Source organism: Homo sapiens, chromosome 8 (genome assembly GCF_000001405.40).
Source record: "Homo sapiens chromosome 8, GRCh38.p14 Primary Assembly".
Classification (NCBI taxonomy): Eukaryota; Metazoa; Chordata; class Mammalia; order Primates; family Hominidae; genus Homo; species Homo sapiens.
Window position 1 is genome coordinate 99528046 of NC_000008.11, and position 27486 is coordinate 99555531.

The 27486-nt window shown below is 32.9% G+C and overlaps 1 protein-coding gene and 2 non-coding genes across 4 annotated transcripts in view; 1 reads left to right on the forward strand and 2 right to left on the reverse strand.

Moving 5' to 3' along the window:
* Positions 1–27486, forward strand: part of VPS13B (vacuolar protein sorting 13 homolog B) — an 864307-nt gene that overhangs the window by 514772 nt on the left and 322049 nt on the right. The gene's annotated exons all lie outside the window — the stretch shown is intronic.
* On the reverse strand, positions 8591–8685 carry MIR599 (microRNA 599). The gene has a single exon (NR_030329.1). It is a non-coding gene; the product is annotated as a microRNA 599 (primary transcript).
* Positions 8741–8816, reverse strand: MIR875 (microRNA 875). Its single transcript, NR_030596.1, has one exon. It is a non-coding gene; the product is annotated as a microRNA 875 (primary transcript).

Here is a 27486-nt window from a genome sequence, read left to right on the forward strand (position 1 = left end):
ATGGTTGTTTCTATTAAATAATGAAAACAAGTCTCAGAACCTTGAGCCATGTTATGCTATAATTGCTATATAAGAATTACACTGGATTTATATTATACTTCCTATGTCTTTTCTGAATATCTCATTTCTCTGATTCTGAGTACTATGTGTAAGCAGTTTGACTTGATTTTCATGGTTTTTAATGATTTTCTAAAAATAGCTTTTATTATAAGAAATAGAATAGCCTTATTAGTTATTAATACAATAGGGATCTTTGAGACATTTATGCCCTTCCTTTGCATGCATTCATTGATTAATTCATTTATTAAATATACATTGATTAATATTTGCAGCTATTCAACAGACATTGAGTGCTTATGATGACTAGACACCAATAGTAGATATATATTTTTGACTAGAACATATGGTACTGTATGACTTCACAGAACTCAAGACTTCAACCACATTATCTTACAATTACATTGTAATTTCATTGTAGTTCTGATAGATTCTGTATCATAATAATTGCATGCTTTGTCTACACCACCTCCCAAAATGCCTAGATTGATGAAATAAGTGAAATTAGAAGTTTTGAACTTGCACCCTAAACTTTTTTCATGGTCTCATTTTTATCATTAAGTATCCTTACAACATTCTGTTCTATCTTCCGAAAATTACTGTAAGAAGCAAGAATGATCCCAGAAGTTCCATCTAGATTTGCAATTTTCACACAAAGGAATAGAGAAAAGTGTTCATAAATTTCATTCAAGTTTTTTTCTTTTTAGAAGTAATAAAGAGAATAGAAATATCAGCATTAATTATTCATGAGTATATTTAAGTAAATACATTACCTTTTCAGTACATTTTAATTGGTCTTTTTTGCAAATTCTGTTTATATCCTGTTTTTTAAAATATTGATTCTTTAAAAATTTAGCTTATGATTTAGTCTTCTGATTATGAAATTAAAATAAGAAAAGGTAAAATAACATTTTAAAAATTTATAAATAAATTTTCAAAATACCTTTTTTGAAAATACATCTACCCTTATTTTAATAAACCTATATAACTAAGACATTTACATTTTTTAAAATAAAAAGATAATCGTGTTTATTTTTAAAAAATCAACACCAAAGTGTATGCAATACTCCTCCTTACCAGGGCTTATTCTGAATGGTAACCACCTCCTTACCCTGTGGCCACTGTTAGATCAAAACTCACAGACCGTTTGTCTGTATGCGTGTGTGTCTGTCTGTCTTAAGTAATGGAATTGTACTCTGCATAGTATTCTTTAACTTGCTTGTATTTAAACTCAATAATGTATTGTGGTCATCTTTCAGTGTAATCATATTTAGACTTGCCATCATACTGACCTGTTTTTGAGCTGTTTTAGACAGCAAAGATAAAAAACTTCATGTAAACACTGCTTTCTGTTTTGAACCGAGAAAATATTCATCACTATTAAAGTTCAATTAAAACTTAAAAACTCTTATATACTATATTGTGACTGAGACTTCCCTGACCTCAAACTTTATTATACATTATAAAATGTAAAAGGGAAAAATGTTGTTTTCTTCCGTGAAATAGTTACCAGGGCAATTCCTGAAGAACAAGTATATCAGCACAAATAGGAAATTGAAATTATTATAGCTTATGTGTTCTTTGTTACTATTTGAATTACAAGGGCAAAGTAATTCACAATTCAACACTGGTGTGTGAATTAAAATATCACAGGTGTTTGGGCTTTAACAAACCACTCTTAAACATTGTTTATCAATTCTCTGCTCAACACCTGTCATAGTGTTCAGTTTTTAACATGACAAAATCCCTGTCTTTTAATGCAAAATGTATCTTCCTCTCTGATCTGACCTTATCCTATACTTTAAATATTACCACTAGTTGCTTCTTTACATAAGACACTTGTTCAAGTTAAATATTTTGTCTAATCCAATAATGCTTATTATGCGCCTTTCTGTGGCTCTTGTTTATGTATGCATTTTCAACTTTCTTGAAATAACAGCTAACTTCCAGTTTAGCCTTTCAGGGTTTTTGTTACGAAGAACTTTACATTGATGGGGGTTTGTATCCTTTAAAAATGTTTTTTCTTTGATGTTCAACTCTATTTTTAATTTTTAAAAATCCTTAAGAATCGCATCTATTTTTTAATATCTTACTTAAATCTTGCTCTCTTTTTGAAATTTTTCATAATCATTTTCTTAGAAGTAATGTCTCCTTCCTTTGGCCTTCTACAGCAATGGCTGACCTACCTTTATGCAATTATAATATAATAATAGTAATAGTAGCAGCAGTAGGCTGAGTGCGGTGGCTGATGCCTGTAATCCCAGCACTTTGGGAGGCCAAGGTGGGCGGATCACCTGAGGTCAGGAGTTTGAGACCAGCCTGGACAACATGGTGAAACCCTATTTCTACTAAAAATACAAAAGCTAGCAGGCATGGTGGCTGGCGCCTGTAATTCCAGCTACTTGGGAGGCTGAGACAGGAGAATCGCTTGAATCTGGGAGGTGGAGGTTGCAGTGAGCCGAGATCATGCCACTGCACTCCAGCCTGGGCAACAGAGTGAGACTCTGTCTCAAAAAAAAAAAAAAAAATAGTAGCAGCAGCAGTAGTAGCAGCAGCAGTAATAGCTAACATCTATTGAGTGCTTCCTTTGTGTCAAAGATTCTGTGCATTGCTTTCAATGCAATGCCTACATCTCGGTCGAACCTCATAATAATCTCATGAGTCAGGTATTATGATTATCTGTATTTTAGAAATAAAATATTCAGTCTGTAGACATTCAGTAGCTTCTCCTAGGCCACACGTAATAAGTGACAGAACCAGGACTGTCAGTTCCATTGCTCATGCACTTTACCACTACATCTCGCTGCCTGTATCTGAGTTTCTTATAAGATGTACCAGCTGTAGTTTAACCAAGTTATTTATAACCAGTTTATAGCATGAAGTTTGAAACTTATTTTTGAAGTTTCAAATTTATATTCCATTAAATTTTGTTATTATTTAAATGTTCCAAAAAACTAGTAAGTACCATTTGTAGTGCATTCTCCTTGTGTTCCTTAAAATAGTCTTAGCTAGGATGGACTTAATATTATAACCTTCAAACCACAATTTATAATGAAAACATTTATAATCCCAGTGTTTGAGCTCTTTGGTCCTTGAAGGTACTTGAACATGCAATCCGTTTTTAGAGAATTTTCATCAGAATGTGCTTAATACTGCATTTATTCTACAAATATAGCTCCGTAGCTAATGATTTTGATTGCCATCAAGGTTTTTCTCACATCTCTTATGAGCTCTGAGATGAGTAATGACCAGATAAATATTTACATAGATGTTGTATCTGATTAACAAAGTCAATATATTTTGTGGCTTTTATTTATAGGAGATATTTAAAAGTCATTATAAAACAGAAGTGTTATGAATCTTTTCTCTTTTCTCCTAGTAAAATTTAGTTATTAATCTAGTTGTCTCAAAATTATGAAAGAAAAAGAGATGTTAAAACTTTTGTTAAATATCTCTCTTCATCCCATTGTATACTTACATATCAGTATTTTTATAAATTGTGGTAAAAAATATTGGTTTTATTTTAAAACAATTATGACTATTTTCACATGTATTTTTTATATAGCAAAATTATAGCAAAGTTGACTAAGTATGTTATGAAGGCTTCTAGTAACTTAGATTTTTTTCTTCCCACTAATCTTGTGCAATTGAGAAATACTGTGTTCAAGCTACATATCTGAATATAGAGTTTATAGAATTAGATATATAAATTTGGAAGTCATCTAACAGTATATATCGACCACCTATATCATTGCTCTGTCATATTTTATAAAATATTAACAAAAGCTCTTCATACCTATTCAAATAGATTTTTTAAAATAGTGATTGTAACATAATTTACCTCATACTTTTTTCAAGAGTATTTCATTTGTTATAACAGAACTTTAAAATATTAAAAGCAGAGCTTTTTACTTCGGAGGTATTTTTAATTAAAAAGTTTTTTTTAACTTTCATCTTTAACTTGAGAGAAGTATATTCTTCTTGTAATTGAACATTTGTGAACTTCTGCATATAGGTTTTTGTTCATGCCATGAATATTTCTGGGTTTTCTGAAGTCCCTTCTGGAATTTTATCTGTGACTAATTATTCCATAGCTCCTTTTTAAACATCGTCAATTGTGAGGTTTTTCAACCGTTTTACATTTTTTTGCAGACATTTGCTAATCCTTTTTAGTGCATTCAGTACCAATAGATTTGATTCTGATATGGGTTTTACCTTTTCTCCATAGATAATTTCATTCTCATAAAACATGTCTACAAGCATTATATGAAAACTGCATAGTAATTTTGGCAAACTTTTGAAAGACATCTTTTATAAGTGAGACTTCTGAAAGGTGTACCCTGTTCTGTGGCAGTTTAATCCATGAAATTTTACCTTTAAAGAATTATAAAAGATAGGGAGCTGATTCACTTTTCACCCTTAGAAGACATGTGTTAGTAAAATTCTTCCAGAAGTATATACAGAATTTGTTTTCCATCTGCTTATTGCTTTTTTTGTGAGCAACTTTTGCAACAGTGTTTGCTCTGTTTCTTACTATGAGTCTGATAACACACCCTCAGCCACAGGAAGAGTGTGAAAATATGCTTTATTTTTAACATAGTTGATGAAAAATTAACTTTAATTACAAATATTCACTTTATTTCATTGTATTTTATTGTATTTTTTGTGTTAAATATTTATGCTAACGGCTCAATTTTAATAGCATAAATATTTAACACAAAAATACACACTTCTTCAGCAGAAATTTACTGTTTTATATAACTTAGCAGAAGTTTTTTTAAAATTAATCTAAAATGTATTTTAATTTTTTAAATGCATAATCAATTCACTGAGGGGTGTTTTTTTTTTTTTTTTTGAGATGGAGTCTCACTCCGTCGGCCAGGCTGGAGTGCAGTGGTGCAATCTTGGCTCACTGCAGCCTCCACCTCCCGGGTTCAAGCGATTCTCCTCCCTCAGCCTCCCAGGTAGCTGGGATTACAGGCACGCACAACCACGCCGGCTAATTTTTGTATTTTTAGTAGAGATGGGGTTTTACCATGTTGGCCAAGCTGGCCTCAAACTCCTGACTTCAGGTGATCCGCCCACCTTGGCCTCTTAAAGTGCTAGGATTACAGGCATGAGCCGTCGTACCTGGCCAATTTACTGAGATTTTTAAAATCATAGTTTACTAAAAATTAAGTATCTTATTGAAGGTTTTAAATAAATTGACCTTGAGGAACTACCAAGTGATCCAAATACAGATATTTGCAAGTGACATAATTGTTTCATGCATTAAAATCTTGACAGTAGCTTTAAAAAAATTTTTAAACTCCAAATTCATTTCTCTTGTTATGTATATACTCTTGACTAATTTTTAAATGGTCATTCTGACTTTTCATAGGGTTAATGTTCCCAATATGAAGTAACATTAATGTGACCAATGAAATTCATGATTGAGATTAACTAAATTTTTTGTCTTGTTTTACATATATACTTTAACAGTTGAAAATTGAGGAATATAACCAATAGAAAATCATAGACAAGATTAACATTCTTTTATTGATGAGCTTAACATCATTAACAATTATGTTTGTATGCTTCAACACATTGTGTTTATTTTAAAATAGGAAAACCATTCTTTTTTATGGACATGTTTATAATAGCCTTTCTTTATTCCTGATGAATGTAACTCAAGGTATGGCATCTCTCCTTTATGTATCTTTATGGTTTCTCCTAAAACCTAGCTTATCATCTTTAACACTGAGCTGTATTTTCTAGATGCAGTGTTAAGATTAAATTCTACAAATCCCCACAAAACTGTTTCCTCCTTCCTCCTCCCAACTTTTAATTTCTTCCTAATTATATAAAGGCATTCTCAAAATAACCTTTGTTTTGGTTTTTGGCAAAGGTATGTTTCGTATCTGGTGACATTATGACCCTAATCCTATAATGGTTAGTGTTGGTTTCAAATAATTCCCTTTTAGTAAGTCAGAGAGAGAGAGAGATTGGGATAGTAGGTATTTAGATTAACTTCCCTAAAAGCTTTGTTTGAAAATATTATCGGCAGAGTTTTAGTGCGTCATGGTATTCTGCTGATTTAGTTGAAGGCTTTGCATTTACATTTGGCCCTCACCAAAGTAACTGCATCTTTTGTGGCTTCCTGTAGCAGGATATAGGTTTCCATGAATATGGTTTCTATTTACTGCCAAAAGCTACCTCAACAACAGTGTTGAAAATGACGATAAGTTCTACCATCATAAATTTTTGAAATGTTTTTTAAATGTATTTACTTTTATATTGCCACTTTTATACTTTCTTCTAGAAATTCATGTTAGAAGCTACAGAATAATAGAATGTTTGGGTTCCCATCATAACAGTTTTGTGTTACGAATTTGGAAAATCTATTTTATACTTCTTTCTAATATATTTTGGTTATATTAAGTACACTGGATATATAATATCTTACTATAACCATTCCTGCTGGTGTACTTTCATTGAGGCACTAACATTATCATGTGAAATTATTATCTAAACATCTCTGAGTTTAAAGACAAGTGAGAGAAAGCATAGGGTACCTTTAAAATACATCTTTGGGACTTCTGGAATATGATGGCTGTTCACCATAACCACCAACATATAAGACAATTGTCCAAAATATGGTAAAACATTGTGCTACTGTCTTAAGTGTCTGATGTAAAGGAAGAATTGCATTTTTCTCATTAATAACAAAGATCAAATATTGTAACAAAAGAGTAACCTGCAAATTTATTCCTATAGCTATTCATATAGTGTAACCTGCACATCATCATAAAAGGCTTGAACAGAATGAATGGATGGATAGATTTTTCAAAAAATCTTTGACCAACTTCAAGTGTGAGAAACCTGTAAATGTGAGAAGCAGTGTTGGCTTTGTAGTTACAATTTCAGAATGATCCATTTTACCCTTTGTTGACTAGTGTCCATTTTCAGCCAGCCCCCTCATATCCCCTAAACCAAAATAGAAGCTAACTAAAAAGAAAATTAAGAAGCAGACATCTATTAATTAATTTAATGTGCAGAATTAATAATAAATTACCTCTACACATTGTATAAGAGCACTGCTAAGCCTTGGTAAGATAAAATGCTGTTACCAAAAAAATCCTAATAATTTTTACATGAAAGCAAGTAAATAATTATTTTCCAAAATACTAATTTAAACAATAAGTCTTAAATATATATGCTTACTTTATGTTGTATTGTATTCTGTGTTCACTGAGGTCACTGTCCTAGAATAAACACTATAATTTTGCCTGTTTTGTGTACTAGAAATACTTATCCTGTTTGAAGAACTTCCATCCTCTGTGGTGTAGACAGATAGCTCCTCAATCTGAAACATTTTCCTTGCTCATCATTTCTAACATTGAACTTTGAGCAAAAACCAAATATCTGAAAAGCATTCTACATTGAGAAAGGTAATGAAAAATACAAACATGATCCTAAAAATGGGTAAAAAGTCAGTGCATAGCTAATTTTTTTCTTTTTACTTTTTTCATTTTTTAAAGTGAGTTACAACTTACATATAGGAAAGTATATTTATCATTTGTATACAGTTGAATGAAGTTTTACATATATATAGACATGTTATCACAACCCAGCACCCCAGAAACCTTACTCATTCTCATTCTAGCCTGTATTTGGTAGTGCAAAGATAATCATTATTCTGACCTCTGTAACTATGTATTAGGTTTGACATAACTAACTGTTATTATCAATGTTTACATTGTGAAAACTTTTATCTCAACATAGGTTGTCATCTGTAAATCTACTTGAAATAATTTCTGAGCCAATGTCAGATCATATAATTCAAAATATAAATGATTTTAATCCAAATTTTTTTTTTTTTTTTGAGATGGAGTTTTGCTCTTTTTGCCCAGAGTGGATTGTAATGGCACGATCTTGGCTCACTGCAACCTCTGCCTCCCAGGTTCAAGCAATTCTCCTGCCTCAGACTCCCATGTAGCTGGGATTACAGGCGCACGTCACCATGCCCAGCTAATTTTGTATATTTAGTAGAGACAGGGTTTCACCATATTGGTCAGGCTGGTCTTGAACTCCTCACCTCAGGTGAGCCGCCTGCCTTGGCCTCCCAAAGTGCTGGGATTACAGATGCCAGCCACCGTGCCCGGCCTGATTTTAATCAGAATTTAAAGCACAATTTTAGACTTTAGTTTTAAACTTTAATATCAAATAATATATTATCCACTCTGGTATTTTCCATGTAAATCTCTGAATGCAACCATAAGGAAAAAAATTAAAAATCCATATATGAAGATTAAACATTATAATTTGTAACATCTTCATTCATTAGATAAATTCCTAGCATATACCCTAATAACTGGCTGTAGCATGAGCTTTTGAGCCAATTTTTATCAATTTCACTTAATACCATAGTTATTTAGTGAAAAATGTCATATACATATGTGTGTGGCATTTGTACAACATAGAGTGCATAGCTTCTGTAAAGGAAATAATGTTTTGTATCCTGGGACCCCATTATCCTTTAACTGAATTGACTGTCATCCAAGTATGGGTTTGATAAACTGACACAACAGTGAAAAGAATCCCTGTCCCATGTCAGCTTATCAAACACACTGTGGACAGCATGTCTTTGGCATTAAACGTATTCCCAGTCATTAAAGTTCTGAATAGAAGTCACGAAGCTTATGTTCAGTGAGACACAACCTCAGTGTTTCCAGGTGATTTTAAGAACACCTGATAAAACTGAGGTATAGTACCACTAAACTTTAAGAATTTTCCAAAAACTAGGGAAAAAAAGTAACATGCATAGAGTTACAGAATTGCAGTGTTATTGTTCAGTTCGATGATAGAACTTATATTAATGAGATATACAGAAAAGTAATTAATATCTTGTCCTTCTGGTAAACCATGTCAAATTATGCTGTAAATATATTTATACTGTAGAATAAAACAAAATCAAATATGTTTTGATTTTTTAATCCTTTTTTTCAAATAATAACGTATATCCACCTGGTAAAATTGTCCATCGGTCTGAATCTCTCACTATTTTTTTCCCAATTTCATTTATTTAATTTGAAAATGTCTATCATCAAAAATTTAGCAGCCTTTTTTGGAATAGTGCACTAAAATCATTTGTACATTGTCCAAGTTAAAGTATAGGCATGTTTGAAAAAGATTTTTAAAAATTTATTCTAGTGCTGTAAATATATTTGGGTGAAAAGCTAACTTCTATGGTGATGTAGGTCAAAACGTTTACTTATAATAATACTTCATTTATACATATCTATAATAAAATAGTTAAATCTATAACATTTATAGGTGAATTTGCCTGATTCTATATCATATACAATGCGAAAACATCTTTCAGGTTTGTTCTCCATAGTTTAACCCTCAAAGAAGAAATTACATTATGCAGTTACAGTACCTTATCAGTGGAGCTCGACTTCTACGCTGCAAATGGAAATGTATTGCAACAGTGCTAAACAGAAGTTGCCCTCCTCTTTGGAGAAAATTGCAGTATCCGAGAGCTCTTTTTAACAAGGGACTACTTTTAAATGTGTCTGATCACCTCAAAGGATAAGTAGAGTGTTTCCTGCCAGTAGAATTAGAGGAAGGAAGCACCAGGCCAAAATGTTTGATGTGTGATGTACTGTAATTCTTTTCATGTGTTTGGTGGTGGCTTTTATATGATGATCAGTGTTTTGCTACTATTTGTGACCCTGGTGTGGTCCAGGTCATTAAAGTTCAACCTTCCTTAATGTGTAGGGTCATTAACTATACCTAGCAGCATTATCATAATTAAGGTACTGTTTTCTTTTAAACAACTATGTCTCATTTTCATTAAAATATTTCTTATAATTGGAAAATCGACCTAGTGATTGTGATTCTCATGAAAGAGATTATTCAACATTGGAGACCTGCTAGTACTAGCATTACTGTCGACAGATGCTCTTTAGGTTTCCTCACTTTACCTTTTAGTCCTTGTTTTTAAATCAGCATTTTCTTCCCACAATTACCTGTGGGTATATAAAGTTCAAGATGGAAACTAGCTTTACATGGTAGTTTTCCTGGATGTGAGTCTTAGAGGCAATAAGAATTGACAAAATTGCTGTCAGCAATATTATATACCTTTAATGAAACAAAATGTGATGATTATACATGTTCTTTGTTATTCTGAGATCACATATTCAGATATTCCTTTAAATGTTTAGGTTTTTAAATATTTATTCAGTTTAAAATATGTAAAAGTAGGTTCTTTATTCTTTCATCTTTATCTTTCTATGCCCTCTAAATTTGCTTTTGGGTTTTTTTAAAACTTTTATATCATTTGTTCACCCATTAGTCATTTAGCACTTGACAATTTGACAATGATAGCTCTAAAGGAATATATGCTCTGTTTTGGGATATGTGTGTTTATCTGTGTCTGAGTGTGTGTGTGTTTGAGGGTTGTTTATTTGAAGAGCCAGTTTCATCTTTTCCCGCATGTGAGTATCCAGATATTTTTGGTATTTGCCTTCTGTCTCTTTCAATGCTGATACTGGATATATCATTAATACATTAATTTGAATAAAGCTAAATGCCTAAAAGGATCTTCATGTGATAAAATAAATTGTCTTTCCTCCATGCATAAAGAATCAATTTTATTATCTTACTTATTGATTTCTTTAGAATAACTTGTGAACACCTACCATTCGCTAGCTATTTGCTAGCTGTAAAGCTGCACTGGTGACAAAATTATTCATAATCTTTACCTTCATGAAACATAGTTTAATTGACTTTATCATTATACTTAAAGTATATTAATTGATTTCTTGTAAACATTTTCTCTAGGCAAAGAAATACATGGCACATTTAGATTATAAAGGAAGAACTCACAGAATTTTTTATGTCCTCAGTGTAGCAATGTAGTGCCTGCATTTATTTTATTCCATAAGAAAGTATTTCACCAGTTTTATAAATTAAGCTATTGTCGTCATAGCTTACTCACTTTTCAAGTCATGGCTTATGATATTAATATTTAAGATCTAAATGATGATGATTACATTGTAAGCATAATGAAGAACAATGTGAAGAAAATTTTAAAAATAACTGAGGCCTTTCACCATTAATTTGTAAATAATTGGCCTTTAAAAAATAGGTACAATAATTTTCTGCACATTCTTTTGCATTATCTTGCAGCATATTAAAATATAGATATACAACATGTATAATTCAAAAACATTAATATTTAATAAGAATGATGTATGATTATAATTTTTGTATTTTATATTGTATTTTAATGTAAATGTGATTTATTAATGTCCACAAAATATGAATTGCAGACAGAGTATTTGGAGAAGGAATTATTGATACATAATAAAAATTAGGCCAGTGCCATGGCTCATGCCTGTAATTCCAGCATTTTGGGAGGCCAAGGTGGGAGTATTGTTTGAGGCCAGGGGTTTGATACCAACCTGGTCAGCAAAACAAGACCCTGTCTCTACAAAAAATTAAAACATTAGCCAGGTACACACCTGTAGTTCCAGCTACTTGGGAGGCTGAGGCTGGAGGATCACTTGAGCCCAGGAGTTCAAGATTGCAATGAGCTATGATCATGCCACTGCACTCCAATCTGGGCAACAGACCTCATTTCTTGAGAAAAAGAATTAATTTGATATAATGAATAGATGTATTTAAATAAATTGGTAATGGAAAAGATGCCTGCAAATAAGTATTGATGCTAACTTATTGGAAGTATATTCTGTTTCTTTTTTTCTTTTTTGTACCATAAAACAGAAAAGGACTCATTTATTTCTATAAGCATTTATATATATATATACACACATATTTATATTTATACATTATATTTATATATAGCATTTATATATAAAAATGCTTATAGAAATAAATGAGTTATATAAATATATAAATAAATTATATATATATATATATATATATATATATATATATATATATATATATATATTTTTTTTTTTTTTTTTTTTTTTTTTTTTTTTTTGAGACGGAGTCTCACTTTGTCGCCCAGGCTAGAGTGCAGTGGTGCGATCTCGACTCACTGCAAACTCCGCCTCCTGGGTTCACACCATTCTCCTGCCTCAGCCTCCCAAGTAGCTGGGACTACAGGCACCCGCCACCATACCTGGCTAATTTTTTGTATTTTTAGTAGAGATGGGGTTTCACCATGTTAGCCAGGATGGTCTCGATCTCCTGACCTCATGATCCACCCGCCTCAGCCTCCCAAAAGTGCTGAGATTACAGGCGTGAGCTACTGCGCCCGGCCTAAGCATTTCTATTTTTAAGGAATACTTTACAGAATTAATGAAAAAAGAGATCTAAAATTCATCACCAGCTAAATTGGGAGTCATTTTTGTAGCATCTCTTTCACAGCTAGCTGTTTGACCTCATTGTTCTCAGTTCATAAAGTTTATATTGAATGCTTTTGCCTCAGCACATATGCTAAGGTGTGAAGAATATCCTTTTTCACAAGACTTTCATGTCTCAATTTTATTCATAGAATATTTCCTAGCTATTTCTCCACTTTTGACCATGTCATTTTTAGAACTAAATTTTTGAAACTGAAGAATTTATCAGTAAAATAATATTCTATATTATCTCAGTTTCTTTTGTATTTCTTTTGAAAGATACAAAAACTTTCTTGTTTTTGCATTTCTTTTGTAACCAAAATCTAAAAACTGCATAATTGTTCTGTGGATTTTTATTGTGGTTTCGAGGCCCTATTTCGAATAACTGTACTTTCATGTTTTAAATGTTTGTCTTTGCTATTGCTCGGTGTTTTCTTTTCTATTACAGGGTTATTTTCTTAAAGTGTATAGAGTCATGGTATAGAAGCACAAATACTAAGATTAAATACTTTTTAGTCGTTATTCTGCTTATAAAAACTGCCAAATGTACATTGTGACTTTTTTATATGTTGCCTCAATTCTCCCTATGTGTTTTCTGTTTTAATTATAGCTTAGAAAATCTCTAGGGGTAATATATTTATACCCTATATACTGTATTTTAGTATTACTTATCTGTTTTTAAGATTACCAAAGAATATTGTTTTCTGGTATCAATTAAAACTTATATAAGAATTTATAAACAGAATAGACAATATAGTTTAAATATTTTCATGAAATATTTGGTATTTTCTGACTAAAGTCAACCCTATGTGGCTAAAGCTTTTGATATGGTACTAAATCAACTTTTTTATATTCTTAAGAATAAGCATGGCACATTTTTTTTTAACTTTAAGTTCTGGATTACACGTGCTGGACATGCAGGTTTGTTGTTACATAGGTATACATGTGCCGTGGTGGTTTGCTGCACCTATCAACCTGTCATCTAGGTTTTAAGCTCTGCATGCATTAGGTGTTTGTCCTAATGCTCTTCTTCCCCTTCCCCCTGCACCCGGACAGGCCCCGGTGTGTGATGTTCCCCTCCCTGTGTCCATGTGTTCTCATTGTTCAACTCCCACTGAGTGACAACAAGGCATAGCACATTTATTATTCCCATATTTGTATAACTCTTGCCATGTTAAAACATTCATGCCGAAAGTAAATAAATCTATCTCCATACTTTGGTGGATAAGATGGGGAAAAAGATTTTTACATTCTAATTTTTCCTTAAGAAAAAAATGTATCTTTTTATTAAGAATGCCCTAATGGTGTTTCATTTCCCAAGTGAAATAGGTGGTGATCTGTTCTCAGCTTTATTAATTCCTGAATGCATGGATAAAATATTATACTTGAAGTTCTTATCAGTAATAATATATAATATGTTAAACATAATTATTGCTGGAAATCTGAATAGTGTTTAATCCTAGATGTAATGGAGACCTTTCTAGAACCTCCACTTGCAGGATTAAGTTTCTACAGGGAAAAGTTTTCAAAAGAAGCAAATTCTAATGCCAAACCTTGGAACATAGCTAGCACATTTCTTCAAAGTATGTACCTTCATTATTGTATTTTTAGTAGATATGGGGTTTCACCGTGTTAGCCAGGATGGTCTCCGTCTCCTGACCTCATGATCCGCCCGCCTTGGCCTCCCAAAGTGCTGGGATTACAGACGTGAGCCACCGTGCCTGGCCTAAGCAATAATAAAGGCTTAAGCCCGGCCTTTATTATTGACATGGACATCATCAGAATTTCTTGTCACATCATTGCTCTTTAGAATAATAGAGGGTCCTAATAATATCTATATAATTTATCACATCTTGATTATGGTTAGTGGATAAGGGAGATTTTCTCAGAGAGGTTTCTTGGTGCTATAGTAGCCACTGCAAAACTCAGTGGAAGAGTTGGAAATAGGTGAGACTTTGAAGAATATGTTGAGCTGTGGCAAATAGGCCAGGTAGAGGAAAAGAAGGTGGTCAGAAAATAGAGGCAGAAATAAAGCATGGTACACTTAGAGACATGAGGATGCTTGTTTTTTGTATCAGAGTACTTGTTATTGGGGCATAATGAGAGAGATGTGGGGACAAGTGATTGAGATCAGACTGTGGCAGCTTTGAATTCCTGGTTAAGGAATTTGTGCTTTATTACATAGGTGGATGGAGAGCCCTTAAGTATTTTTGATCAGGTTTGAACCATTTTGGGAGAATTAATTACAGTGCCAAGTACATAGTAAGTGTTTAAAGAGCACAGCCTTTCCAAGTGACCTCAGCCAACATACAGCACTTAACTCCCTCAATTTTATTTGTAAAACAGGGATGATAATACTACCTACCTCATAGGGTTGTTATGAGGATTACATAAATTAATGCATATAAAACATTTAAAACTTGTCTGGTACTTTGTAAGTATTCAGTGCCATCCCAATCAAGCTACCAATGACTTTCTTCACAGAATTGGAAAAAACTACTTTAAATTTCATTTGGAACCAAAAAAGAGCCCGCATTGCCAAGTCAATCCTGAGCCAAAAGAACAAAGCTGGAGGCATCACACTACCTGACTTCAAACTATACTACAAGGCTACAGTAACCAAAGCAGCATGGTACTGGTACCAAAACAGAGATATAGATCAATGGAACAAAACAGGGCCCTCAGAAATAACGCCGCAGATCTACAACTATCTGATCTTTGACAAACCTGAGAAAAACAAGCAATGGGGAAAGGATTCCCTATTTAATAAATGGTGCTGGGAAAACTGGCTAGCCATATGTAGAAAGCTGAAACTCAATCCCTTCCTTACACCTTATACAAAAATCAATTCAAGATGGATTAAAGACTTAAACGTTACACCTAAAACCATAAAAACCCTAGAAGAAAACCTAGGCATTACCATTCAGGACATAGGCATGGGCAAGGACTTCATGTCTAAAACACCAAAAGCAATGGCAACAAAAGCCAAAATTGACAAATGGGATCTAATTAAACTAAAGAGCTTCTGCACAGCAAAAGAAACTACCATCAGAGTGAATAGGCAACCTACAAAATGGGAGAAAATTTTTGCAACCTACTCATCTGACAAAGGGCTAATATCCAGAATCTACAAAGAACTCAAACAAATTTACAAGAAAAAAACAAACAACCCCATCAAAAAGTGGGCAAAGGACATGAACAGACACTTCTCAAAAGAAGACATTTATGCAGCCAAAAAACACATGAAAAAATGCTCACCATCACTGGCCATCAGAGAAATGCAAATCAAAACCACAATGAGATACCATCTCACACTAGTTAGAATGGCAATCATAAAAAAGTCAGGAAACAACAGGTGCTGGAGAGGATGTGGAGAAATAGGAACACTTTTACACTGTTGGTGGGACTGTAAACTAGTTCAACCATTGTGGAAGTCAGTGTGGCGATTCCTCAGGGATCTAGAACTAGAAATACCATTTGACCCAGCCATCCCATTACTGGGTATATACCCAAAGGACTATAAATCATGCTGCTATAAAGACACATGCACACGTATGTTTATTGCGGCACTATTCACAATAGCAAAGACTTGGAACCAACCCAAATGTCCAACAATGCTAGACTGGATTAAGAAAATGTGGCACATATACACCATGGAATACTATGCAGCCATAAAAAATGATGAGTTCACGTCCTTTGTAGGGACATGGATGAAGCTGGAAACCATCATTCTCAGTAGACTATCGCAAGAACAAAAAACCAAACACCGCATGTTCTCACTCATAGGTGGGAACTGAACAATGAGAACACTTGGACACAGGGTGGGGAACATCACACAGCAGGGCCTGTTGTGGGGTGGGGGTCAGGGGGAGGGATAGCATTGGGAGATATACCTAATGCTAGATGATGAGTTAGTGGGTGCAGCGCACCAGCATGGCACATGTATACATATGTAACTAACCTGCACAATGTGCACATGTACCCTAAAACTTAAGGTATAATAATAATAAAAAAAATTCAGAAGTATTTACTGAATTTTATAATTCAGCCGTAATTATTATACTTATTGAATGTTTTTGAAATGATTGCTTAGTGCTTAGTCTGACTATAGTATTTAATATATTGATTGAATTGTGGAAAGAATTCTACCTACCGCTTTTTGCTTATGCAAAATTAAATAAGTAAAATACCACTGATGAAATGAGAAATTGTAATTTTGTATGTGCTGCAAAACAACAACAACAACAATAAACCTTTACAAGCATCCTTATCCCAGCTACACAAGAGGTTTATATCAACTTAAAATCCCCAGATAATTTTCAACTTGTTTCAAGCCCTGCCTAATAATAGGCCATATTAGTAGCTAGCATTTAGATAGCATTTTACAGGTTACAGAGTACTTTTTTATATATTCCCTCCTTTAGATTTCACCAAATCCTTAGGCACTACTCAGTGCTGTAATTCATTTTACAGTGGAGAAAACGAAGCTCAGGGATGCCTAAGATCACACAGCTAGTTTGTGCTCTGAACCACTACACCATAATTCTGTTTGGCCTTTTTATTGAAACAACTATATCAAAACAATATAGAGTACAAGAAAATGCTTTTTCTATGCCCACCACCTTCCTCTGTTCTGTACCTTGCTTTTTAAACTCTGCCATGTAAGACTCATCACTTGGACAAACATAATTTCATTCATAGATTTTTACTGTGATATTCTATTGCATGAATATGCCAAGTTATTATGTCATTCCTTCTGTTGGTGGAGATTTACGTTTTTAATTTTTCTGTATCACTTGTAGTGTTAAAATGAATATTCTTCAACATTCTCCTTGTACGCACATGTAATAGTTTTTCTAGGGCAGTGCCTTCTAGTAGAATGTCCTGTGATAGTGGAAATTTCTGTATCTGCACTAATACAGTAGCCATTATCTACTGTAACTACTGTAACTAATACAGTAGCCGTTAGCCATGTAACTACTACACTATGACTCAAGGAATTAAGGAGCTAAATTTTTTAAATTGTATTTAATTTTAATTAATTTTAAAGAGACATATACAGCTGGTAGCTATTGGGCAGCATAACTCTGGGTTATGTATCTAGGAGTTTAATTGCTAGGTGATAGGTTACATAGCCTCAATGCTGATAGATTTCACGAAATTGTGTCAGATTTATATTCTCAATTGCTGAGTATAAGAGTTTCGTGGCTCTCTGGCAAACAGCCTTAATACTGTTGCATTAGGCACTATACACTTAGGATTATCTTAGTACTAGATATTTGTGGATGATGTTTAAGGAAAGATATTTTCTCTCTACAACTGGAGGTGATAAACTAATGGATGGTACCTAGTATGATTAGATATGCTTTCTAATGTATGGCAATTGAAGGGCATTGTGCTACTGTCAGGAAAATATATTAAATTTTCTAATCAAATGTTAGACTATGTAGCCCTTGTTGCTAACTAGAAGATCATGATTGATACTTTTCCTTAAAGAAACTATCTTTATTCTGATTAATTTGCAAATTAAGTTATTCATATTTTAACATCATACATTAAGAGATTTTATGGACTGTTGCTGTATTTTTAAAAATTCATACCTTTCTTTACAAATAGAGAATTGCTTAATGATTATTGTAAGTTTGAGAATACTAACTTCTGTTCCTATTCTTTCTTCTTGACCGATTTTATAATATTTGTGAGTCGGAAGTAACTCCATACATTAAAAACCATGTTAAATAATGTGACAACATTTTTTTAAAGGGAGTTGATTTGTTATATACCACATCTAAAGGTTTTTTTTTTCCTCCTCAAATTTCCTGTTTTAAATCAATTCTAATCTGTTGCCTTGGAATTAGTCTTTATCATGTTTAATTTGAAGTCTTACAGTTTTTCATCCAACAACATACAAATACATTTAAATAAAGCATAGTTTTACATTTTATTTTGAAGGCTAGTTCTCATATTGTTAGGTACAGAACGTAGGCGACAAGAGGGGACTGAATTTATAGTCAGAAGGTGTGGTTTCCCATTTGGACTATGCTGTTTCTCATCCTCCTTACCTAAATCATCAGCATCTGTAAAATGAAGTCTACCTATAGCACCCTGTGAGTTGTGATTTATCTACATAATATTGAAACCCCTTTGCAAACCATTAAACTGTAATCAAATGTAAAGTGGCATTATTAATATTATTACTATCATTTATGTATTTCTGTATTTTGTATTACAAAGCTCTTCATAATTTGGTAGTAGAATTGGAATGACTGGAAATGAAAGAATGTAATTAAAGAGAAAAAAATTTAAGTGATATAATTAGAGACATAGTAATAAAAATGAATTTGGTTAAGAGATAAAGGGAGATATCTTTGTTAGAATTGTTATTAAAGGTTTCCCAAACAGTTTGGAATTAGTACTTGTTTACGTACAGTTTAATTTAGCCACAATTTACTTTTCATAAATATTTTTCTATGATTTTTTCTTATTATGGAAATTATTTAGAAAATTAAGTAGAACTTGACTTTTAAAAAGTAATGTACTATGAACATTTGGGGACCTTATCTGTGCTCACCTTGGTTCAGATAGCAGAGATACATTGTTCAAAGTTAGAGAGCTGTAATGACCCAAGTATCAGAATGTGGTTTTGAGAATCAATAGGGATGCTAGTTTAGATAAAAAAGGGAAAAGAGGGCATGTTCCTCAGCCTAGTCCAGACCTTCTGAATCATAATGTCTAAAGATGGGAGCTGAATATTTTGAACAAACTCCCTGGGTGATTCTTCTGCACTCTGAAGATTAGTACTCCTGCCCTAATCGTTGGTGATGGAACTCAGCATTTGTTTCAGTCTGACAGACAATTATTATATCCCCTGTCCTATTTACTCTCAAAATTACTGTCACTTATGGAGACTTGGTGATAAATATGTAGACATTTAATTTAATCAAGGCATAAAAGTTTTACTTCTTTTTCATTCCTATTTTCTGCCTTATTTAACATTTTGTGGATCTCAATTGAGCTATAAGTGAATGAATTTCACTTCTTTACAGTGAATTCCCGAGATATGCCTATTCAGCAGTGAGTAGTAAATGGTTCAACATGAGCTGTTCCTTATGTAAACATACAAAAGGCCTGACCCAGACTAAATCAATTTAAAAAGGAAAACATTAAAGCTATGTTTCCTGTTATATACTTAAAGTCTTCTTTGGTTCCTTATGATTACATTATCGACCAACTATTGCAGACTTTATCCTCCTACACCACCTGCTGAATGGTTCAAATGGTATGGGATAAGAGTTTCGGAAGGGCAAAGCAATTACAATTATAACTCCTACATTGTAGCCAATAAAGCAGCTTTTTGTGCTAAGGATAAGGAAGTCATGGGCTTCTTGATTCACCCCCTTTCCTGATTTGAATTGCTACAAGGTTTTAAAGGCTGCAATAAGGAGACAGCAAAGTTCATAGAGCTTTTAGAAGTATGTGAAGTTGAGACCAGAAAATTTAAGTCCTGTTTATGATAGCAAACATTTCTAGGAAACATTTAATTAGTAAATGAAACAACAATATAACGCTTTTTTATTATAAGATGTTTACATTGTATTTTTTAAGGCAGACGTTAACATTAGGCATTCTGGTCCTCACCATAGGACCAGCTATAGTCCTTTACCTATGATTAGCTGCTTAGTAAAGTATCATTCTATTAGAATTCTTTGCTCTAATTATTCTGCAATTGTTGTTTGTGCTAGGAAAACTTGGTGTACTAAATCAAAGTTCTCTTGAATAAAATATACTTTCATTTTTGGCATTGTAATCAGAATGTTTTTCACTCCTACAAGTCTTATTTTTAAGTTATAAAGTTCTTTTCTTAGGGAAGGGAGCTGTAAAATTGTAAAATGATTTTCAGTCTTTGAAAAAATAAATTATTTGTGAATCTTGTGTCTGTAACTATTTACCAAAAACTTTAAAAAAACTCTAGTGAGCCATGAGATGTGAAATATCTTTCAGAAGACATCTTGCCTTAATATTGCTTAATGAAAGTTAATGTACCCCATAAATTTATACATTATGATTTTTCATTAAAAATAAAAATTTTGAAAAGCTAGCATATGGTATTTGAAAACATTTTGAATATGTTTTCTTAATTTCATATTGAAAAAGCAAAAATGCTTTTAATATTTCATAATAACCGAAATTGGTTTTAAGTATGTATAGGACAAAACAGGAGTATATCTTACACATTAAAAAATAGAGATTAGTGACTATTTCAAGTTGAGGGAAAAAATCCTCCTATTTTTTGGAAAATGAAGTAAATCAGTGCATTACTACTGTATTTTCTTATAACGATAAAGAAAAATAAATCTTGGGGATTATGTAATAAGAAAGAAAAATTAAATTTTTATCTGCCTAAAAAAACTATCCTGTATTTGTTTTATTAGAGAAAAATTAAACCAAACTTGTAAATTTTATACATATTAGCTAATTCTTCAAAATATAATATTTTATTAACTCAAACCAATAAGCTAAATGGTCTACCTTTATAATTTGTAATAGAAATTTTCATTTGTACTTGGAAAACTATCTACAGAGGAGATACATTGATGTTTCCTGGTTTTGATAGCTCAGGAGACTAAGATTGTTGAAGAAACTGTGTTTTAAAGATGCAAGAATATTTTTATTTCGCCTAAATTTTCCACAATAAAGTTTTTCTTGGCTTAGAAAGTAAGAGGTCTATTGCATACTAACCAGCATACTGTTAAAACACTGTTAAGTTGATGAAACAGATCAAATTAGAAAATGTGGGTAGAATTCATTGAGTTTGATTTATTAAATTGAGTATCACTGGTGTTCTCTGCTCAGCTGTTGTTTCTTTTTAGAATCCTAGTACGTGCTTTATCCAGCTAAGTCTGTCTTATTCTCACTTTCCAGTCATTTTACTTCTATTTGACATTTTATACAGAGTCTGAGGAAAGATTTCAAAGTAGGGTTTTTTTTCCTGACAATTTTTGAAGTTTTTATGATGTGATGACTTCTGTGCCAGGCTCTCTCTATATTATCTCACTTAATTTTCATAATTAAGACAGAAACCCAGGTTTTTCTCTCCTCTTGGCTATTGTGCTACTACAGAATTTATGCAACCTATTTGGCACGGGATAAAATGCCAGTTTGCAAGGCAAGCCCATCTTGTGGGCTGCACCTCTTCCTCAAACACTGGGCCTCATACAAGTCTCTGATAGTTGGTACAAAACGGCCTGTCTTTGGCTGGAAACCTCCATGCCTTATACCATTGCTTTCTCCCCTGCCTCTCTCCAGGCCCGCTGTTCAGAGCCTTTTCAGGGTTTCTAGATGTGCTACTGCCTCACACCTTTCAGCCTTTGAACCTGCTACTTCCTCTGCTGGAGATTCTTTCTTGTATGAAATGAGATAACTGGGCTTTTTTGAACTTGTTTCTATGTTGCCTTCCTCTTTCCTGGGCCTCCCAAGTCTGGGTCAGGTGTCCCTTCTATGTGCTTCCAATTTTATTTTATACATAACCTTTTGGAGTATTAAGTGTTGTATAATTGCCTCTAAATCCCACATTAGACTGTAAGTGTTATGAGGGCAGGGACCATCCAGGGACCTATTATTCTTAGGGCCTATCACAATACCTGACATACAGTGCCCAATAAATAATGCAAGTCAGGTCACTGGAGGAAGGGCTGTTTTGATAGGAGAATATAATTTTGAAGTCCTGACTAAGGCTATGAGTAGGGAAGAAACTGGTTGCTTTATACCACTTACTACTTTACTAGCAGTTTTATTTTATAACAATATGGTTTTAAAATAGAGTCATTTTCATGTAGAAAAAGAGTTATAGAAGAAGTAATGTTATATTTGGTAGGAGAAATTAGAGGACGCTATATTAATAGAAATATCTTCTAGGGACAGTGACGACTAGGAGAGATTTTTTTTTTTTTTCACAGTAAGCCGTAAAATCTTTGTTGCTATAAATCTTCCTATTCATTTAACTATTTAATCTTCACAACATCCTAGTTATGTTTCCTTTTTTCTTGCGAATAGTATATTTTGCCTTCTATCTTTATCTTTTTTTCCCTTTAATGCTAGAAATTTGTCTATTTTTGGCTTTGTTGATCTTTTTTATTGTGCTCTATATCCTTCCCTCTTTCTTTTAGTTTATTCTACTTTTTATGTTCAGCTTATTGAGACTTTTTTATTTGCTAAAACTAGTATTTTAGACAATAAATTATCCTGTGCCACTTGAACTGCATCCTACAATGTTTAATGCATAACATTTGCTTTTAAGTATTAACTTTTATTATGATTTTTTTGACCAGTGGATGACTCATTTAGAAGTGTGTTTTAAAATTTCTAAACATAAGCAGTTTTGTGAATTCTCTTCTTTAATAAAATATCTAACTGAATTGTATTGTGCTCAGAGGATACAGTCTATATGATACTAATTCACTGAAATGTACTGAGGCTAGCTTTATGGCCTAGCAGGTTGTCGGATTTTATAAATGTTCCTGTGTGCTTGAGAAAAATATGTATTCTCCAGTTGTCAGATACTGTGTTCTGTAAATGTTCACCTCATCACACATATTATGTTTTTCAATTTTTCTGTATTTTTCTTCTTACCTGCTTAGAGGGTTAAAGTTTTCCACCATGGAGGACAGATTTGTCAGTTTCTCCTTGTAGAGCTATCAGTTTTTCTTTTATATGTTTTGAGGCTGTTTTTACAAATAAATTTAGAATTGTCTTAACCTCCAAATGTACTGAATCTTTTGTCTTCAGGCAGTAACTATTTTTAAATAGAGTTAAAGTCTATGTTGTATAATGTAATGTAAATTTAATTACTTAAGTTTTTTGTCAAATGTTTGCTTAGTATATATTTTTGCATATGTTGACTCTTTCTGTGCCCTAAAGTTTTAGGTGTGCCTCATAAAAAACAGAATATTGATTGATTTATTAAATGCAATCTGACAGTTCTTATCTTTTAATGGGAGAGTTTAAATTATTTATATTTATGCTGCTTATTATGTTTGGATTTTTATTTGTATCTTCTTCTTAGGTGCTTTCTACTTGCCCAACTTTGGTTTTTCATTTCTGACATTCTAATTTTTATTTATTTGGAAGTTATGTGTTCCATATCTGTTATTTTAGTGGCTACTCTGGCTATGTTAACATGTGTACTTAACAGAAGTCTGAAGTTAATATCTTTTTCTTCTTCTTCAACAATACAAGAAACTTAGAACATTTTATCTCAAATTATCTGGTCCCCTTATTTATATATTATTATCCAGTGTCTTATTTTTGGCCTGTTTTCTCATCACAATTTAGACATCATTATTATTAATTTAAACATAATATATGTTTAGACTTAGTCATATATTTACCAATGTCTTCCTTATGATTATTTCTTGGGATACTTTGGGCTGCCTGGATTTAGGGCTTGGCATTTTTCAATAATTGTGGAATAATTATAAGACATTATCTCTTCAAATATTGCCTCCTCCTTGTTCTGTCTATTACCTCCCTCAAGCTTTAATTAAGCATTTTTTAGACTTTCTCTCTCTATTCTCCATGAATCTTAACCTTCTTTCATTTATAGTATTTCCTTGTCTCTTTGGATTAAATTCTGGATTTCATTGGACCTTTCTTTTAATTCACTATCACTTTAGCTGGGCTTAATCTGCTTGAGTTTTATTTTTTTTCTCATTTGTAGTTCTACATGGTTCTTTTTAAAGTCTTGTTCCCTGCTCATACTTTGAAGATGCTTTTTTACTTTTTAAATAATTATTTTATATTTTATGTTTGCTAGTCTGTCCATTGTTACTGCTGTTGTGTGAATTGTGAATTTTGTCTGTGAGTGTCTCATTTCACTTGGAACCTGATCTGTGGAAGTTCTTTGAGTTGAAATTGATTTCATCCCAAGAGACTGTGCTTTTACTTTTGCCTTTACATGTCATCTGGCAGCACTGTCTACCTGGAGCAAGACTGTCCAGACTGAATTTTTGTTCATACCATATGTGAGACTCAAACTTCCAAGTCCTGGCTCATGACTGCAAAATCTTGGAACATTGCTTTTTAGTTTGGGTTTTGTGGGTTGGTTGGTTTTTATTTTGTTTTTTTTTTTTTCCCCTTTACCCATTAGTAAGGTAAAGACAGGTAAGTTGATAAATTACCTTGTCCATTTCTACATGAGCATAAGGAGAACTGTTGCTTTAAAAAATATATTTTGAAATATAGATTCATAAAGAATTACAAAAAATATTTGGAGAAGTCCTGTGTGCACTTTACCCAGTTTCCCTCAATGGAAACGTCTTGTATAACTATAGTACAATATCAAGACCAGGAAGTTGACATTAGTACAATCAATACACAGTTGTATTCAGATTCTGCCAATTTTACATGCACTTAGTTGTGTTAATGTATATAGTGCTCTATGTAATTTTGTCACATGTAGATTCATGTAACCACCATCACAATCAAGATACAGAACTGTCCTATCACCACAGAGGTCCGTAGAAGGGCTGTTTCTAATTCACCCTTTCACTACTGGTGACCCTTCGTGATCTCAGCTTTATGTGAATTGTCTTCTATTAAATAGATTCATCATTTGCGTGAGCCCTGAGCTTCATCTCCTCCTGTGCAGTTAACAGAGCAGAAAATCAGTATCTGCAGGATTTAGCAGAAAACCTTAGAGTAAAAGCCAGCTTTGGCAGGTGCTTATTTATCATGGTTCCTGGTTTCACATTATTTGGGAGACTTCCCAGCTTCTGTTATTCTGTTATTGGTGTTGGCTCCAGGATGTGTCTGAAAAAATACTTTAGATTTGTTAAAGCAATTTGTTATGAGAGCCAGGAGGTTCATTCAGAGTTTCTAATATGCCATATTCAGAAATAGGTGATACTAGAAATGTTAAGGAACATTTATCTTTATCGTTTTCGTTGCAGTTCATTCATAAAGTGGATTTTGTTTTATCTTGATACTTGTGCATCTGTGATTAGTTGGTGATTTAAATATGCTGTTCATTCAGAATCATATAAGATAATATACTTCCATAATAGTCATAAAATCTACAAGGTACTTTATGAATAGTTTTTCAATTACACATATATTTTATTTATCTTTATAATAGTCATATCAAAATAGCTAAAGCACAGAGAAGTTAAATAATTTCTGCAAGCTCATGATCATTGGAAAGTCTGAGACTAAAACTCACATAAATCAGCTGCTTATCCTACTTTCCCCAACTGAGATTTGGAAGGTTTTGCAATTAACTTTTAAGTTGGATTTATATACTCAAATATTATAAATTACTCTGAATTTTTTCAAATCAAGTATGTCACATATATGTCAATATATCAAATATATAGTTTAATTTTAAAAGCAAGCAATAAGAAAAAATATAGAAATACTAATCCTAATCCCTAAAAGTTTGAAATTTGAAAATTACCATTTTTGGAAGTATCTGGCTATCACTCAAAATGGAAAGTATTTTTGCATAGGGAAGAAGAACCTGTGGGAAATAATTGATAAATGATGGCAGGAGAAACATAGCTTAATTTAAGTCCAAAAAAAAAATGGGAAATTTCAAGCCTAAAAGCAATGTAAAAGTCTGATGAAACTTGGTGTTTTTGTGATTGTAATCTTGTTAATTATACAGCTTTTCCATGTATCAAGGGAAATAGGAAATCGGTTGTTTACATTGGGATTAGGTTGATTTGTCTTTTAATATAGCACTAATTTTGTTTTCATTTTTTTTCCTTCAAAGGTATTCTTAAAGTATTTTAGTTCACCTTAAAAATATGTTTAGGGAGTTTATTTAAAATGTAGAGAGCATTGGCTGTTTTAAAATAGGTAAAAGTAATGTTTATATGGTGAGTAATAATCTAGGGAAATAGGTTAGGCCATCAACTGCCTCAGATATTTGCTGGCTATCAGAATTTATGTGGCCCTGATTCAAAAGTTTAGTCTTTTAAAGACTATGTGCTCTTATTGCTGTGTACAGATAGGTTCTCCGCCTGAGATTTGTAAAGATTTATGTCAGTACAAATCAGTGAATTGAAACAGCATTTACCTGTTGCTAGATAGTATAGATAGTTCCTGACCTCAAGAATGTGTGGTATATTTGGGAAGACTGATAAGTCAATGTGGTATTATTATATTTACAAGCATAGAGAGACCCTAAGAACAGAGATTTGGGAAAGGGGAGTTTGGAGGAAGGGTGATCAGGAAAAGCTTCATAAAAACAGAGTTAGCTGAGCTGGGCCTTTAAGAATTAACAAAATTACACCAATATTTAAATGAAACTAGAACATTCTTCTACAGAGAGACTCTCAAAATGCCTCTCCTTCATACCCCCACTGTCATTCATTCCTTTTCTCTTTACCTTAAGGCAAATTGAAAGGATTAATGGCCCACTTATGAGCCCTATTTCTCATGCAGTTCTTGAGTTTGTATAAAATTTTAGTTCACCTTTCCTGTAATTTTTCTAAGTTAGAAAGGAGAAAACACAGATCCAGCTCCTACCTTAGGAATCATGAGAATTATCCTCAGTTTCTCTGGCTCCTGCTTTGGCTTGTTGACCAGTGGCTGTTTGTTCCCCTTTTCCCGTGTTCATAACTCTTTCTGACATCTCACTAGCTGAGCCACTTGCTTATTCCACTCAGGTCTGCTCCTTGCTTCTCTCTTCACTTGAATTAATTAATGTCAGCCCTCACCTTGCCTGGCCCAGTCCTGAGCAGCTGGCCCAGACACCCGTTGTCTTGAGTCTGAGCAGTCATTCACTGTCCATTATCATTTAACCAGCCTCTGGGAGTGCTTGTTCTGACCTCCACACCTTCTTAGTCAACCAAGGCATAAACTGAATCAGATTTTGCCTTTTTCTATACTTTTCACACTAGGACCCCCATCACCTCCCAATAATAAGTTTCGTTAGTGTTCAACTGATGTAATTAACTTAATTGTATTTTTTTCTAATGTCTGTAATTGAAGCTTTTAAAAATATTTCTACTAGTAAGGCTATTTTTATTCTCTTTGTTATTTCAACTTTTCTTCTGATAAAAACTTTTAT